This window comes from Homo sapiens, chromosome 8, assembly GCF_000001405.40.
Source record: "Homo sapiens chromosome 8, GRCh38.p14 Primary Assembly".
NCBI lineage: Eukaryota > Metazoa > Chordata > Mammalia > Primates > Hominidae > Homo > Homo sapiens.
This window is the reverse complement of record NC_000008.11, coordinates 140667727-140685105: the sequence shown is the minus strand read 5'-3', so window position 1 is coordinate 140685105 and position 17379 is coordinate 140667727. Positions and strand designations below refer to the sequence as shown.

General features: G+C 43.2%; 1 protein-coding gene and 1 pseudogene across 176 annotated transcripts in view; both read left to right on the top strand.

Moving 5' to 3' along the window:
• PTK2 (protein tyrosine kinase 2) overlaps positions 1-17379 on the top strand; it is a 344180-nt gene that overhangs the window by 316974 nt on the left and 9827 nt on the right. For 99 of the 176 annotated variants that reach the window (NR_148039.2, NR_148038.2, NR_148036.2 and 96 more), the window contains 4 exons: positions 9607-9646; positions 10702-10808; positions 15371-15379; positions 16682-16837. Coding sequence is in view for 169 of the 176 variants with exons in the window: in NM_001352699.2 (NP_001339628.1) it covers positions 9607-9646; positions 10702-10808; positions 15371-15379; positions 16682-16837 (312 nt within the window). In the remaining 7 variants the exon portion in view is untranslated. Of the gene's footprint in view, positions 1-9606; positions 9677-10394; positions 10493-10701; positions 10809-15370; positions 15380-16681; positions 16838-17379 lie in introns of all 176 variants that reach the window. The other 77 variants (NR_170671.1, NR_170672.1, NM_001352732.2 and 74 more) reach the window with 4 other exon arrangements.
• LOC124902099 (uncharacterized) lies at positions 2619-2778 on the top strand (annotated as a pseudogene).

Genomic DNA, 17379 nt, shown 5'->3' with positions numbered 1-17379 from the left:
GATGGTTGTAGGTATGAAGTTTTATTTCTAGGCTCTGTATTCTGTTCTATTGGTCTGTGTGTCTGTTTTTGTACCAGTACCATGATGTTTTGGTTACTATAGCCTTGTAGTATAGTTTGAAGTCATGTAATGTAAAGTCCTCAGCTTTGTTCTTTTTGCTTAGGATTGCTTTGACTATTCAGGCTCTTTTTTGGTTCCATATGAATTTTAGAATAGCTTTTTCTAATTCTGTAAAGCATGTTATTGGTAGTTTGATAGGTACAACATTGAATCTGTAAAGCTTTGGGCGGTATGACCATTGGGCGGTACGACCATACTTTGGGCGGTATGACCATTATAACAATATCAGTTCTTCCTATCCATGAGCATGGAATGTTTTTCCATTTGTTCGTGTCATCTCTGATTTCTTTCAGCAGTGTTTTGTAATTCTTATTGTAGAGATCTTTCACCTCCCTGGTTAGCTATATTCCTGGGTATTTTGTGTGTGTGGCTGTTGTAAATGGGATTGCATTCTTGATTCGGCACTCAACTGGATGTTGTTGGTGTAGAGAAATGCTACTGATTTTTGTACATTGATTTTGTACCCTGAAACTTTGCTGAAGTTGTTTATCACAGGAGTCCCCATCTTCCTGGGCCGCAGACTGGTATTGGTCCATAGTCTGTTAGGAACTGGGCCACACAGCAGGAGGTGAATGGCGGGCTAGCCCGCATTAATGCCTGAGCTCTTCCTCCTGTCAGATCAGTGGCAGCATTAGATTCTCGTAGGCATGTGAACCCTATTGTGAACTGCGCATGTGAGAGATCTAGATTGCACACTCCTTATGAGACTCTAATGCCTGATGATCTGAGATGGGACAGTTTCATCCCAAAACCATCCCCCACCCCATCCCCTGAGTCCGTGGAAAAATTGTCTTCCACGAAACCTGTCCCTGGTGCCAAAATGATTGGGGACTGCTCGTTTATCAGATCTAGGAGCTTTTGGGCCAAGACTATGGCGTTTTCTGTGTATAAAATCACATCATCTACAAACACAGAAGTTTGATCTCTTCTCTTCCTATTTGGATGCCTTTTATTTCTTTGTTTTGCCTGATTGCTCTGCCTAGGACTTCCAGCACTAATGTTGAATAGATATGGTAAGAGTGGGCATCCTGGTCTTGTTTCAGTTCTTCAGGGGAGTGCTTCCAGCCTTTGCCCATTCATTCAATATGATATTGGCTGTGGGTTTGTCATAGATGGCTCTTATTATTTTGAGTTATGTTCCTTCATTACCTAGTTTTTTGAGGGTTTTTAACATGAAGTGAGGTTGAATTTTATTGGAAGCTTTTTTTTTTTTCATCTATTGAGATAATCCTGTAGTTTTTTTTAGTTCTGTTTATGTGATGAATCACATTTAATTGATTTTCATATGTTGAACCAACCTTGCATCCCAGGGGTGAAGCCTACTTGTTTGTGGTGGATTAGCTTTTTGTTGTGCTGCTGCTGGATTCGTTTTGCCAGTATTATGTTGAGGAATTTTGTATCTATGTTCATCAGGGATATTGGCCTGAAGTTTTCTTTTTTTGTTGTTTCTGCCAGGTTTGGGACTCAGAATGATTCTGGCCTCATAGAATGAGTTAGAGAGGAGTACCTCCTCCTCAATTTTTTGGAGTGGTTTTAGTAAGAGTGCTACCAGCTCATCTTTGTACATCTGTTAAAATTCAACTGTGAAGCCATCTGGTCCTGGGCTTTTGGTGGTTGATAGGCTATCTATTACTGATTCAATTTCAGAGCTCATTATTGGTCTGTTCAGGGATTCGCTTTCTTCCTGGCTCAGTCTTGGGAATGTGTATGTGTCCAGGAATTCATCCATATCTTCTAGATTTTCTAGTTCATGTGCATAGAGTTGTTCATAATGTTCTATGATAGTTCTATGTATTTTTCTGTGGGGTTGGTGGTAATGTCCCCTTTGTCGTTGCTGATTGTATTTTTTTCGATCTTCTCTCTTTTTTTAATTAGTCTAGCTAGTGATCAGTCATTCTTATGTATTCTTTCAAATAACCAATTTCTGGTTTCATTTATCTTTTGCATGGTTTTTCATGTCTCAGTTCCATTTAGTTCAGCTCTGATTTTGGGTATCTCTTGTTTTCTGTTAGCTTTGGGGTTGATTTGCTCTTGTTTTTCTAGTTACTCAAGGTGTGATGTCAGGTTATTAATTTGAGATCTTTTTAACTTTTTGTTGTAGATGTTTAGCACTATAAACTTTCTTCTTAACACTGCCTTAGCTGTGTTCAAGAGATTCTAGTGTGTTGTATCTTTGTACTTATTAGTTTCAAAGAATTTCTTGATTTCTGCCTTACCCAGAAGTCATTCAGGAGCAGGTTAATTTCCACGTAATCATATGGTTTTGAACAATCTTCTTAGTACTGATTCTGTTTTTATTGTGCTGTGGTCCTAGAGTGTGGTTGGTGTGATTTCGGTTTTTTTTTTTTTTTAATTAGCTATAGAATTGTTTTATAGCCAATTGTGTGGTTTATTTTAGAGTATGTACCATGTGCAGATGAGAAGCATTTATATTCTGTTGTTTAATAAAGGCCTTTTAGTAATAAGCCAAACTCTTTGTGACCTAAAGAAATATGTACATCACTTCTCAGCCTTTTGGCTAAGATCAAGTGAAGAAATATATACACATATTAGCCGTTGTTAACACACGCTGTCATTTGCTAAATTTTTTGTTGTTGTTGTTTTCGTTTTTGTTTTGAGACAGGGTCTTGCTCTGTCACCCAGAGCTGGAGTACAGTGGCGTGATAACCTCCGCCTCCCAGTTTCAAGCGATTCTTGTGCCTCAGCCTCCTGAGTAGCTAGGACTACAGGCACGTGCCACCACGTCCATCTAATTTTTGAATTTTTAGTAAAGACAGGGTTTCACAATGTTGGCCAGGCTGGTCTCAAACTCCTGACTTCAAGTGATCCACCTGGCCCATTTGCTAAATTTTTATGCTCTTACTACATGGTTGTAAAAGTCTCCAGAATCACAGAAAATTTGTTCAAGCAATATTTTTTTCTTCTGGATGTAGCAGGGGGAGAATGCCTGAAATTCTCTTTAAAGAACTAGCTTATGATTATTCCAATTATATTTAACCTATTTATGCCTAGTGTTCCATTATTGGAACGCTAAGCTTGTGAGAGTTATTTATATCCTACTGCTTAAGGTCATCGCCAGTGTCTGATTTTTCCACACCAAAAAATTTGCAACCTCCAGCATAAATAGGTTAAAGCCTGCTAGAAATAGGACTTATTTTCACACCAATTCCCAGTCCTTCCTAACGTTTTAGGACCAACTGCTTTTTTTTGAGACGGAGTCTCGCTCTGTGGCCCAGGCTGGAGTGCAGTGGCGCGATCTCGGCTCACGGCAAGCTCCACCTCCCGGGTTCACACCATTCTCCTGCCTCAGCCTCCCGAGTAGCTGCGACTACAGGCGCCCGCCACCACGCCCGGCTAATTTTTTGTATTTTTAGTAGAGACGGTGTTTCACTGTGTTAGCCGGGATGGTCTCGATCTCCTGACTTCGTGATCCCCCCCTGCCCGCCTCCGCCTCCCAAAGTGCTGGGATTCCAGGCGTGAGCCACCGCGCCCGGCCAACTGCTTGTTACACATTAGTTTCTTCAACATAAGGAAGCAGCCAGTTTGGGGTTGGTTGGCTCTTGTTTTTCCAGTTCCTCAGGGCGTGATGTTAGGTTATTAATTTGAGTAATTTGAGATCTTTTTTTTTTTTTTGAGACGGAGTCTCGCGCTGTCACCTAGGCTGGAGTGCAGTGGCAGGATCTCGGCTCACTGCATCTTCTGCTTACCGGGCTCAAGAGATTCTCCTGCCTCAGCCTCCCAAGTAGCTGGGATTACAGCCACCTGCCTAATTTTTGTATTTTTAGTAGAGACGGGGTTTCACCATGTTGGCCAGGCTCGTCTTGAACTCCTGACCTCCAGTGATCCACTCGCCTTGGCCTCCCAAAGTGCTGGGATTACAGGCGTGAGCAACCGCGCCCAGCTGAATTTAAGATCTTCTTAATCTTACTAATTTGAGCAAACCAACGCCAAATTTCCATCAGCAGATGTCTGTTTAAGTTAAATGCAGATTTCCTTAAACATTTGCTGTGCCTGTCAGGTAGCAGACTTACGGAGTTAAAGTTTTACCCTAATAAGGGTGAAACTACTGAGTTGACTTCTAGTCACAGGTGTGTATGCAACTGTCAACACTTACCTTAAAATCTTGCAAACATTTTTTCTATATAAAATAGCACCCAGTCGGGCACAGTGGCTGACATTCTTTAGTTCACGAGCAAGAAGGTTGCATTATCAGCCATTTAACATTCCCATACACTGAGCTCCTTCCTTGTATTGAAGAGACAAATGCATAAAAAGCAGTTGGTCCTAAATTGTTAAGAAGGAGTGAGAATCGGTGTGAAAATAAGTCCTATTCAAGATACTAGCTATTTAGAACGTTGCTAATAGGAAATTTGTTAGATAAGGAAAATTCTTTGTGTTCCAGTGTGTGGCCCACAGAAGGTACTCAGAAAAAAATGTAAATTTGTTAATCAAACCTGGATAGAAGGATTATGCAGAACTGCTTTATTAATAAGAACTTGTGGCCAGGAGCGGTGGATCACCTGAGGTCAGGAGTTCGAGACCAGCCTGGCCAACATGGTAAAACCCCGTCTCTACTAAAAATACAAAAAAGTTAGCCGGGCGTGGTAGCGGGTACCTGTAATCCCAGCTACTCAGAAGGCTGAGGCAGGAGAATCGCTTGAACCTGGGAGGCGGAGGTTGCAGTAAGCCGAGATTGTGCCATTGGACTCCAGCCTGAGCCAAAAGAGCAAAACTCTGTCTTAGAAAAAAAGAACTTCTAAGACAATCAGATGACACATGATGGGCCCAACTAAGATCTCAGTTTGCTTTGTGCCAGGTGGAGGCAATAGTAAGAGTGCTTAGTGCTAACTGAGGTCCTGGCTTAGTACTACAAGGTACTGTGTCGCATCACTCTTGACACATCGGGTACTGTCGTCATCCACATTTCACAAATGAGTAGACCAGGACTCAGAGAAAACTTGCCTAAGTGCCCCCATTTATGCACCGGTAGCCAGCCTTGCTCAACAGACTTCACTGCCTTCCTGGGGACTGTTAACACGCTATGACCATTTGATTTTTTTCCCTTTTGTGCTTTCCTAAAGATGATAATTTGGTTTTGGCCCCATTTTGTGAAACACTCCAGCTTTAACACTTTTAGAAATGTGCCACGGCTTCAGGGAGAACCCTTTGACTAGAAAGCCGTGTAGATTATAAATGGATGTGAACTAGTTAGTAAACATTAATAACTGCCTAGTGGAAAATTGATCCCATCAGTGTGCATAAAAGGTAAACTTTTATTTAGACTTTAATACACAGGTTGACAGCATGTTCATTTTGTGATGACAACCCAGTTGTCTTATTAGGTAAGTGTTATTAGCCTCAGTTTACAAATTGAAAAACCAAAGCCCCTAACAGCTCTGCAGCTTTTCCAAAGTAAACAGCTGGTTCCGCACAGAACCATGCACGAGGCCTAGCTCCACACACTCATACTGTCAGACTTCTGAAGCAGAGTCTCTCCTTTTCTGTACCTGAGTACCCGAGCAGGTTGTACGTGAGCACACATTGGCTAGATTACTCCAGGATGTTCTGAGAATAGGATTTTCTAGTTCATTAAACTTTCTTGTTACCCGAGTATCAACCAGAAAGTTCTTTGTATTTTTAAACCTTTTAAAATGAGCATGGGGCCAGGCGCGGTGGCTCACGCCTGTAATCACAGTATTTTGGGAGGCCGAGGCGAGCAGATCACCTGAGGTCAGGAGTTCAAGACCAGCCTGGCCCACATAGTGAAACCCTGTCTCTACTAAAAATACAAAAATTACCCAGGCGTGGTGGTGCACACCTATAATCCCAGCTACTTGGGAGGCTGAGGCAGGAGAATCACTTGAACCTGGGAGGCAGAGGTTGCAGTGAGCCAAGATCACACCACTGCACTCCAGCCTGGGCGACAGAGCAAGAGTCCGTCTCAAAAAAAAAAAAAAAAAAAAAAAAAAAAAAAAAAAAAAACATGGGGAGCACTCAGCTGGCCGTGAGCTGGCTGACTGGAAACAGGCACCACATAAATTTAAAAATTTTTTAAATTAAAAAAAAAAGGGCATGGATTTTATTGCCTGAAGCAGTGAGTACAGCACAGCCAGTAGACATTGTCTGTTGTTAAAGTATTGGCCCGTTTCCACCATTCCCTGCCCTCACGCCTCTCTATCTGCCCTGACCACCTTGCTGTTCCTCACACATTCGGTTTGCCCTACTGGACTCCTCCCTCTCGAAGCTACTCTTCTCCCGGGTTGCTACAAGGCTTCCCTTTCAGGGATCACTTTCTTAGAAGGCCTGACCTTCCTACTTAAAACTGCAGCTTTGGTCTGGAGTAGTGGCTCACACCTGTAATCCCAGCACTTGGGGAGGCCAAGATGGGTGGATCGCTTGAGCTCAAGAGCTTGAAACCAGCCTGGGTAATATGGCAAAACCTTGTCTCTACAAGAAATATAAAAACTAGCCAGGTGTGATGGCATGCACCTGTGGTCCCAGCTCCCAGCTACTCAAAAGGCTGAGGCAGGAGCATCACTTGAGCCCAGGAAGTCGAGTCTACAGTGAACAAAGATCATGCCACAGCACTGCAGCCCAGGTGACAGAGTAATACCCTGTCTCAGAAAAATAAAAATAAGGGCCAGGCGCAGTGGCTCACGCCTGTAATCCCAACACTTTGGGAGGCCCAGGTGGGTGGATCACTTGAGGTCGGGAGTTTGAGACCAGCCTGGCCAACATGGTGAAACCCCGTTTTTACCAAAAATACAAAAACATAGCCAGGCATCGTGGCGGGCGTTTGTAATCCCAGCTACTCAGGAGGCTGAGGCAGGAGAATCACTTGAACCTGGGCTGCAGAGGTTGCAGTGAGCCAAGATTGTGCCACTACACTCCAGCCTGGGCGACAGAGTGAGACTCAGTCACTCACTTAATCAATCAACCAATACCAAAAAACGTGTAGTTCCTCTCCTTCTATCCCAGCCATCTCCTTTCTTTGTGGGACACAGCTTCTCCTAACAGAACACAGAATATACTAATACATGTTCATTGTTTATTACCTGTCTCCTTCCACTGCATTGTTAGCTGTTTGCTCCCCAGGCAGGATCTTTGTTTTATACCTAGAACAGTGCTAGAACAAAGCGGATGTTCAATAACTGTTCATTGAACAAATGAATGATATGATAGTGATATATGAAGTAGAAAGCACTACACAAAAATAAGTTGATATGGTATCATTCTTCATACCTTCAAGCTCTGAGACTTTTTGCAAGTCTTTAAAATCAGAGGTGTTAAATGACATGTTGAAAACAACTTGATTGTGTGAGGGAGGAACAATTTTAATTTTGTGTGCTATTTTTTATAGCACTTGTATTGTAAAGAAGTGGATCTCTTTTCAATAGAAAGTAAAGTGTCTTAGGTTATATCTATTAGCCAGTTCATTATTTTAAAGTAAGCAAGAAAAGTCTTTCTTTTCAAAAGTAGAAAATAGTTCCAAAAAGATTTTTTTCCAGGTAGTTAGCCTCAGAAAGACTATTTTAAGTGCAGTTTCAGGTATGACAACTTGAAGGAGAACTGGTGTTAAGTGAAACTTTATCCTGTACCTGGGACAGAAGTTCTGGGCTGTGGTTTGGCTTCTCTGGCTTGGCCTAGAACTGATGGAGGTATAACAACAGGTCCTGACACACACAGTGCTTTGGGGGTGATGACAATGTAGGCCCATGGGAATCTACACACCCAGTGCTACCAAGCCCCTTTCCATCATTTTTCTGGTTGTACCTGTTTTTGTGATAAGGATAGTTGGGAGGCCAGGCAGGAGAGGATGCAGACACTGGGAAGTCCTGGGATTTTAAACCCTTTAGAGGTCAACTGGAGACATCCATATAAGAAAATTTCAAATTTTTTTTATTTGTATAAATTTAAGGTGTATAAGTGCAGTTTTTTTACATGGATATATTGCATAGTGGTGAAGTCTGGGCTTTTAGTATAACCATCACACAAATAGTGTACATTATACCCATTAAGTCATTTTTTTTTTTTTTTTTTTTGAGATGGAGTCTCCCTCTGTTGTTGCCCAGGCTGAAGTGCAGTGACGTGATCTCGGCTCACTGCAATTTCCGCCCCCACCAGGTTCAAGCAATTCTCCCGCCTCAGGCCTCCCAAGTAGCTGGGATTACGGGCACACACCACCACACCTGGCTATTTTTTTTTTTTTTTTTTTTTTTTAAAGTAGAGACGGGGTTTCACCATGTTAGCCAGGATGGTCTCAACCTCCTGACCTTGTGATCCACCCGCCTCAGCCTCCCAAAGTGCTGGGATTACAGGCGTGAGCCACTGCACCTGGCGCCATTAAGTAATGTCTTAACGCTGTTCCCCCCGCCCCCACCGACCGCGGCAACTCTTCGAAGTCCCCAGTGACTATTCCACATTCTTACGTATGTGTATACGCATTATTTAGCTCCAACTTATGAGAACATGCAGGATTTGATTTTCTGTTTGTAAGTTGTTTCACCTAAGATAATGGCCTACACATTACTGCATCCATCCCCACTGCTGCAAAAGACAGGAATATATATATTAATTAATTAATTAATTAATTAATTAATTAATTTTTTTGAGACAGAGTCTTGCTCTGTTGCCCAGGCTGGAGTGCAGTAGCACGATCTTGGCTCACTGCAACCTCTGCCTCCTGGGTTCAAGCTGTCCTCCTGCCTCAACCTCCCAGGTAACTGGGATTACACCCACGTACCACCACGCCCAGCTAATTTTTGTGTTTTTAGTAGAGACAGGGTTTTGCCATGTTGGCCAGGCTGGTCTTGAACTCCTGACCTAAGGTTATCGCCCATTTTGACCTCCCAGAGTGCTGGGATTACAGGCATGAGCCACTGTGCCCAGCCAATTGTATTCTTTTTTGTGGTTAAATAGTATTCCACTGTATACATATACCACATTTTTTTAATCCAGACATTCATTGATGGACACTTAGGTTGATTCTGTATCTTGGATATTGGGAGTAGTGCCATGATAAACATAGCAGTGCAGGTATCTTTTTGATACAATGATTTGTTTTCCTTTGGGCGTATATGCAGTCATGGGATTGCTGGATCGAATGGTAGTTCTATTTTGAGTTCTTTGATAAGTAGTTCTATTTTGAGTTTTTCTAGTTCATTTTCCATAGAGGTTGTACTAATTTACATTCTCCTCAGCTGTGTAAGAACATTTTAAATGGGTTATGACCACTGTGTTTGTGGTTCCAGAGTGTCCCATGCTTGCTTCTCTCACAGCCCTTTCCACACATGCTATTGGCATCATTTGCTTATTTGCCTGATCCCCCACCCCAACTGAGACCTTATGCAGAACCCTGTTTTGTTCATTTTGATACACTAGAATCTAGCCTAGAAGTTCAAGGGGGTGGATAGACAGGGTGGGTGAGAGAGGTCATTGCCCAAGTGTATATACCAGTGCATTGACTGAACTTTTCTTTTCCCACAGATTGGAAACCAACATATATATCAGCCTGTGGGTAAACCAGGTAAAGAAGAAAAGAATTGGGCGGAAAGAAGTTAGTTTAATTTGATGAAAGCAGGTTTTGAATGTATATAGTGTCGTAGCTTTGGAATACCCTCATGGTTAATTTTTCCTCTACAGACCACAGCAAGTACGATGTTTACCACATTCAGCTCATTACTAGAGTATTGGGAAAAAGAATTTGTTGGTATAATGCATCAGAAATACCTCCTTAGGGTTGCAGTGAGCCGAGATCACGCCACTGCACTCCAGCCTGGGTGACAGAGCAACACTCGGTCTCAAAAAAAAAAAAAAAGAAAGAAATGCCTCCTTAGAATGCAAGATTAGTGTCTTTTGTAAGAACAGCAGTAGGCATTTATTTAGCAGTGGTTTCTTTCTCTTTCCTTTTTTTTTTTTTGGATACAGAGTCTCACTCTGTCACCCAGGCTGGAGTGTAGTGGTGTGAGCTCACTGCAACCTCCACCTCCCGGGTTCAAGCAATTCTCCTGCCTCAGCCTCCCGAGTAGCTGGGACTATGGTGCACACCACCATGCCTGGCTAATTTTTTTTTCTTTTCTTTTCTTTTTTTTTTTTAATTTTACTAGAGATGGGGTTTCATCGTGTTGCCCAGGCTGGTCTTGAACTCCTGAGGTCAGGCATCCGCCCGCCTCAGCCTCCCAAAGTGCTAGGGATTACAGGCGTGAGCCACTGTGCTCAGCCTTCTTTCTCTTTTTTTTATTTTTTTGAGACGGAGTTTTGTTCTTGTTGCCTAGGCTAGAGTGCAATGGCACGATCTCAACTCACCGCAACCTCCACCTCCTGGGTTCAAGCGATTCTCCTGCCTCAGCCTCCTGAGTAGCTGGGATTACAGGCATGTGCCACCACACCCGGCTAATTTTGTATTTTTAGTAGAGATGGGGTTTCTCCATGTTGGTCAGGCTGATCTCGAATTCCTGACCTCAGGTGATCTGCCCGCTTCAGCCTCCCAAAGTGCTGAGATTATAGGCATGAGCCACTGCCCCCAGCCTCTTAATCTTTCTTAACGCACATGACTTAATGGGAATCATTCTCTCTCACCAGATCCTGCAGCTCCACCAAAGAAACCGCCTCGCCCTGGAGCTCCCGGTCATCTGGGAAGCCTTGCCAGCCTCAGCAGCCCTGCTGACAGCTACAACGAGGGTGTCAAGGTGGGCATCTGAGCCTGTGCAGCACCTTCTGCTTGCAGGATTTGTGGTGTCCCCTAGTTCTCAGTTGATGTGTTCATGTCATAGAGTGGAGTTGGTGCTGAAAATAGAACAGTGCAGAGTGGAACTGCAGTGAGACCCAGGAGTCAATTGGTCTGGTTCTGAACCCCTCTGAGAGTCAGGGAAAAGCTTTATGCAAACATTTTCTTTTCCATTTTCCTCTCAGTGTAATAGATTTTAGGAATTCAGTCAGATTCTGATTTTCTACATACATCTTCCTCTGATCAGACAGAATGTTTTCTTTAGAACAAAGTGCCAAGATTGTTTCTGGTTTTAAAAATTAATTAAACCAGGATGCTTGGGGTAAGTGAGGACTTTTTGTAGGAGTTTATAAGTGTGGCTTCATGGAAGACTTATTTATTTTCCATTTAAAGTTAGAATTGGGTTTGTAAAAGCAATGTATGCTGAGTAGAGCCATCCTCAAACCAAGGGGAGTGTTTGACTCAGGCACAAACAACCACAAGCTTCTGAGTTTGGCAGTCAGAAGTCAGGTGCAGCCTGCCCCGAGGGGTGCCAGCTGGAACTGTTGGCGCCTGTGACTCTCCTGGGTCCCCACCAGCCCTCACCGAGTGCTGGAGCCACTAGAGCAGCAGCCCTCCTCCCTGAGAGATCTGACGGAGGAGGCTCTTCTTTTCTAGCCTGTGTCCTGTAAGGAGATGGGATCTTTTTACTTTCCACTTAAAATGACAAATTACCTCTCAAAATAGACGCTATTTCTCAATTGTCATATACCTTTTATTCACATTTTAATATCTCTAAAATTGGGATGGTGTTTTGGTTTAATTGGCAGCATTTTTTTTTCTTAGTGGTTCATTAAAAAATGGTGCATCTTGAGCTAGGTGTGGTGGCTCATGCCTGTAATCCCAGCATTTCGGGAGGCCAAGACGGGCGGATCACAAGGTCAGGAGTTCAAGACCAGCCTGGCCAACATGGTGAAACCCCGTCTCTACTAAAAATACAAAGAAATTAGCTGGGCGTGGTGGTGCATGTCTGCAATCCCAGCTACTCAGGTGGCTGAGGCAGGAGAATCACTTGAACCCAGGAGGTGGAGGTTGCAATGAGTCAAGATCATGCCATTGCACTCCAGCCTGGGCGACAGAGCAAGATTCCGTCTCGAGGTTAAAAAAAAAAAAAAGGATGCATCTTATAGTGGAAGACATCTTAAAATCCGAAAAATGTCATATCAGGTTAAGATAAACTTTGCTTTACCAATAACCACCATTTATTGACTGTCATCCCTTTACCAAGTTCTGTGGCAGTCCTTTTTCATGTATTATCAGTTCTCATGTGAACCTCACAGGACTGGTGGTGGTATCATTTCTCAGTTGACCAAGGCTCACAGAGATTAAGCAGTTTGTTCAAGGTTACACAGCCTCCACATAGCTGAGCTGTGCTTGGCCGCAGGCTTGGCTGAGCACATACTTGACTCAAAGGCACTCGCCTCCAAAGCTGAAGCTTCGTTAGATGTAGATACATTGTTGTCTTCTCAGAGTCATCAGAAAGTTAGTCCAGGGTAAGAAAAAATGTCATCTCCAGGCCCAGAGGGATAGCCTGCAGCTTAGAGGGCACAGGTTTGCCAGTGTTCATTGAGGAGGTGACCAGAGGGTGAATGGGCAGCCACTGGCACAAACTAGCCTGCTCTCTGTGGCCAAGCCTGCCCTCTGTGGCCATAGTGAAAGTACCAACTGGGCTAGGGATGCCTCTGCCCTTAGGGTTGGTGCCCAGAGTTCATGCCAGTGGCTTTTAAGTGCCTGGGAATCAGGAACTTCCTCAGTTCACCAGGCCTCCAAGCCCCAGGATGCCTCCTGACAGTTCTGTTAAAGACACACTGAGTCTTCTCCAAGGAAAATTGAGGAAGGACACACCCTTCCCAATATTGGCTTCTTTCAATAAATTTCTAAAAAGGAGCCAGACATGGTGGCGCACCTCTATGACTATAGTCCCAGCTACTCGGGAGGCTGAGGAAGGAGGATCACTTCAGCCCAGAAGTTTGAATCTGGCCTGCGCAACATAGTGAGACCCCATCTCTTTAAAAAAAGAAAAGGGGACAGAATGAGATTAATGAATTATTTATTTTCATAAGCCAAAAGAACAGACTTTCAAAATGGCTTGTATTACAATGAAAAACCAACTTTACAGGTAGATCGGTACCACCTTAGAATTCTGACATCATTATGAAACATCTTTCACAGCTGGAATAACATAATGAATACATACAATTAGGATAGGGTATGAAGCAAATTGAAATCTTGAAAATAATATGTGTACTTAAAATATATTAAGTAAAGATTCCCGCCCCCCGCCCCCCTGAGACAGAGTCTCACTCTGTTGCCCAGGCTGGAGTGCAGTGGTGCGATCTTGGCTCACTGCAAGCTCCGCCTCCCGGGTTCACGCCATTCTCCTGCCTCATCATCCCAAGTAGCTGGGACTACAGGCACCCGCCACCAGGCCCATCTAATTTTTTTTTTTTTTTTTTTTTTTGGGTATTTTTAGTAGAGACGGGGTTTCACCGTGTTAGCCAGGATGGTCTTGATCTCCTGACCTTGTGATCCGCCCGCCTCGGCCTCCCAAAGTGCTGGGATTACAGGCATGAGCCACCGCACCCGACCTAAGTAGATTTTTAAATAACATGAAATATACACCTCTGTTTCTTCATTGTCTGCTTGGTAGAGGTCATTGAATCCATCCTAAAAGAACAGTATTGTTCTAATACTGCAATGCAGCTAGGCACAGTGGCTCACGCCTGTAATTCCAACACTGAGAGGCCAAGGCAAGTGGATTGCTTGAGACCAAGAGTACCAGACCAGCCTGGCCAACATGGCAAAACCCTGTCTCTACTAAAAATACAAACATTAGCTGTGCATAGTAGTGTGACCCTATAATTCCAGCTGCTCAGGGGGCTGAGGCACAAGAATCGCTGGAATCCAGGAGGCGGTGGTTGTGGTGAGCTGAGATCACACTACTGCACTCCAGCCTGGGCGACAGAGCGAGATTCTGCCTAAAAAAAACTAATACTAAAATATTTACTTTTATGTATAACTAAAATAATTCATCCAAATAACAGCCAAAATCAGTCTCAATTTTTCCTAGGTAGCACTGCATTTTGGTTCTTAACTGAGTCTTTAAGCATCAACCTAAGTGGTTGGAATTGGCTACATCTATAGAGGGTTTATCAACTGCCTGCCAAGGAGCTTCCAAGTTGTCAAGCTCCAGAAAATAGAAAACCATTAGGATGTCTTTCCAAACAGCTTTCCCTTCTGGAATGTCACTGTGAATGGTCCCTAGAAGCATTATGACAGTGCCCCTCTACCACAATAATTGGGCAAAGGGTAAAGTAGAAAGGAACAGAAGCTTTAAACAGGTGACAACCTCCCTAGAATTACAGAATTGTCTATTTCTTCTTGATGAAACACCCTGTGGCCCCCTCCTCAAGAAGCCCTGTTGATGTAGTTTGAACTGGTACATCCTATGAAGTTAAACAGAAGACCACACTGTGACTCTCAGTGCAGAAAATAAAATACAGGAAGTCATCTCTTGGAAATGGTGTGGTTATAGTAGGATAGCGCCCTGGCTTGAGCTTTAGAGAAAACACATTAAATAAAACTGTTCAGTTTCAAGTAGTAGAACCTAATCATAAGAATCAGCTCAAAAAAGGGGTTTCTGTTCTACTTTTGTTTTTTGTTTTTAAAATAAGCTCCCAATGTGTGTGTGTGTGTGTGTGTGTGTGTGTGTGTGTGTGTGTGTGTGTGTGTTGTTGTTTTTTTTTTTTTTTTTTTTTTTTTTTGAGACACAGTGTCGCTCTGTCACCCAGGCTGGAGTACAGTGGCACAATCTCAGCTCACTGCAACCTCTGCCTCCGAGGTTCAAATGACTCTCCTGCCTCAGCCTCCCGAGTAGCTGGGATTACAGGGATGCACTACCATTACCCTGCTAATTTTTGTATTTTTAGTAGAGACAGGGTTTGACCATGTTGGCCAGGCTGGGCCTAATATCTTTAAACTCAGCCCCAAGTCAGGAATCTTTATGATAGCATTATGGCTAGATGATGAAGTGGATCTCAAGGATATTGAGGGGCCGGGCTCAGGAATTGAGGCTGCTGCAGTTTCTCCTGAATCTATGAGAATTCAGATGGGCACTTTTCAGTAATTAAAACCATATGTCCTCCTCCTCCTTTCTTTTTGAAGAGCTCTCATTCTGTTGACCTTGCACTGCTGCTGGATTGTTCCTCGGGCTTTGCATGTTCCCTGCATTTGTTTTGTAACTGAGCATGGTGCATGGCAGACCTCTCTATGCAGTATGCTGGGGCAGTGAGCAGGTGGCACAGTAGCCACACCCTGGCAACAGTGAGTGAGAGCTGGTGGGCAGGCTTGGAAACTAGCTCCTTTTTGTTCTGCTCATGTGTTTTTATGGGGGATTTGTCTTATGCCTTTATTAATATTGTTTTTCTTTTTTCCCTTTCTCTGATAAATTCCTTTAACTTTTCCTCACCTTCCGTTCGACAATAGCCATGGAGGGTAAGCACATCGTGTCTTTGTGTGTCTGTCCAGCTCTCTCTATCACACCCGGCTCTCTGCATGTAACTTTGGACTGGAAAGCAGGAAGCCCAAGTGGGAGGGCACTTCGGCCTGCTTTGTCACCTCTCATGACTGACAGATGCCAAAAGCAGTGTTTATATATGCAAAAGAATGAGACATGTACATCTTTGCAGTAAATGAATTATTCTTGTGCTTTTCTATCTCATACCCAGACTTTTGGAACAACCAAGAATTAATCTGTTCCAGATTACTTAGGCAAAAGCACCCAAGGGTTCAGAAATGGGAACTTATATTTAGACTGAGCACTGGCATCAGGTTCATGATTAAACTATATGTACTACAAGTTGGTCTTTTTTAAAAAGTGTATATATATATATATATATATATATATATATATATATATACCATTTTATGCTGGTGTAATTCTAACCAGTTGGAATTTTTAAATACTGCTGAAGATTTCCCAAAGGCCCTCATGTTATTCCACCATCAGTACTCAAGTTATCTTAGTAACATTTGTTGATGTCTCTTCTGTGCCCAGGCCCTAGGTAGACATTGTTACATCTTTGGCCTCATCTTCCCTGATCACAGTTGCCCGGGTGAGAGAGCTGAGGCTTTATAAGCGTAGGCCCAGGTGCTTTCCAGCAGTCAGCACAGAGCTGGCTGAAACCGGGGTCTTGAGCAGAGAGGCTCCTAGCGACACCACTGCTGCTTTGACTTCAGTCACGACCTGCAAACAGATGCTATCCCCTTAAAGTGCATTCATATGTCAGCTTTTTATAATTGTACAAAGAACATGTTTCCATTAGGCGGCTGAGGGCAGCTAAGCTGAGCCATACCGTTTTCACTGCAGAATTCAAACTAAGTGGAAATCCTTATAGTCTTCATGTAGAATGTTTGACTCTTTAGCCAAATAGGTAATTTTGTCTAAAATTCAGTAAATTCCCAGATGGATTATTATCTTGTGGTAAATGATTTTGGGGTGAGGGGACATTGAATCAGGTCTCTGAAAGAATCTGGGGTTTTTAGTATAATATGTATGATTCCATCTCATTTCCTTTAACTGAGCTCAAAGTTAGAAAGAAAATACTGCCTAATTTGTCACTTGGAGGAATTACTTTACTGTCATTCTCAATCTGAACTATATCCCGCACACACAAGAAAATCAATGACCTTCTGCAATCTGCTTTGATCTCTTGTAAAGACCCTCTCTAGCTTGATTGTGGTGATCTCACGCCATCTGCTGGAGAGCAGAAAAATGACTGGCTTCTGTGTTGTCAGCTTCAGCCCCAGGAAATCAGCCCCCCTCCTACTGCCAACCTGGACCGGTCGAATGATAAGGTGTACGAGAATGTGACGGGCCTGGTGAAAGCTGTCATCGAGATGTCCAGTAAAATCCAGCCAGCCCCACCAGAGGAGTATGTCCCTATGGTGAAGGTAAAATAGAGTCATTTTGTGTACTGGCAAAAATGTTCTTGTTTCCTGTAAGCTGTGGTGCCAGTTGATAGATGTCTCTAGGTCCCCCCGCCCCACCAAAGTCAGAACTGATGCTTTAGAAGCTCTTCACGAAAGCACCATACAGTGACAATGTTAGTGAGAACTGCAGTTATTCTGAATTGCCGTTCCTATCTTGTTTTCTTCTGTCAGTAAACACTAGGATGGGAGTGTCTTGAAGCAGTACACTCTTTTAATAATTACCACTCACACATAAAGTCTGCAGTGAAAGAGAAAGCTGCAAAAGTATGCTTACAGTATGATGCCATTTATGTAAACTTGAAAAACATGCAAAATAATCCTGTGTAAGACTTAGGGAGATGTGGTTACGTTGTTGGAGTGCAAAGACAAGTAGAGGAATGATCATTATCAAATTCAGATCCCGCACCTGTAAGGAGGAGCCAGCTGAAGAAAGGTACATTGGGAGGATTTATCTGTGTTGTTTTTCTTAAGCTAAGGGTTGGGTATGTGGGTGTTCATTGAAT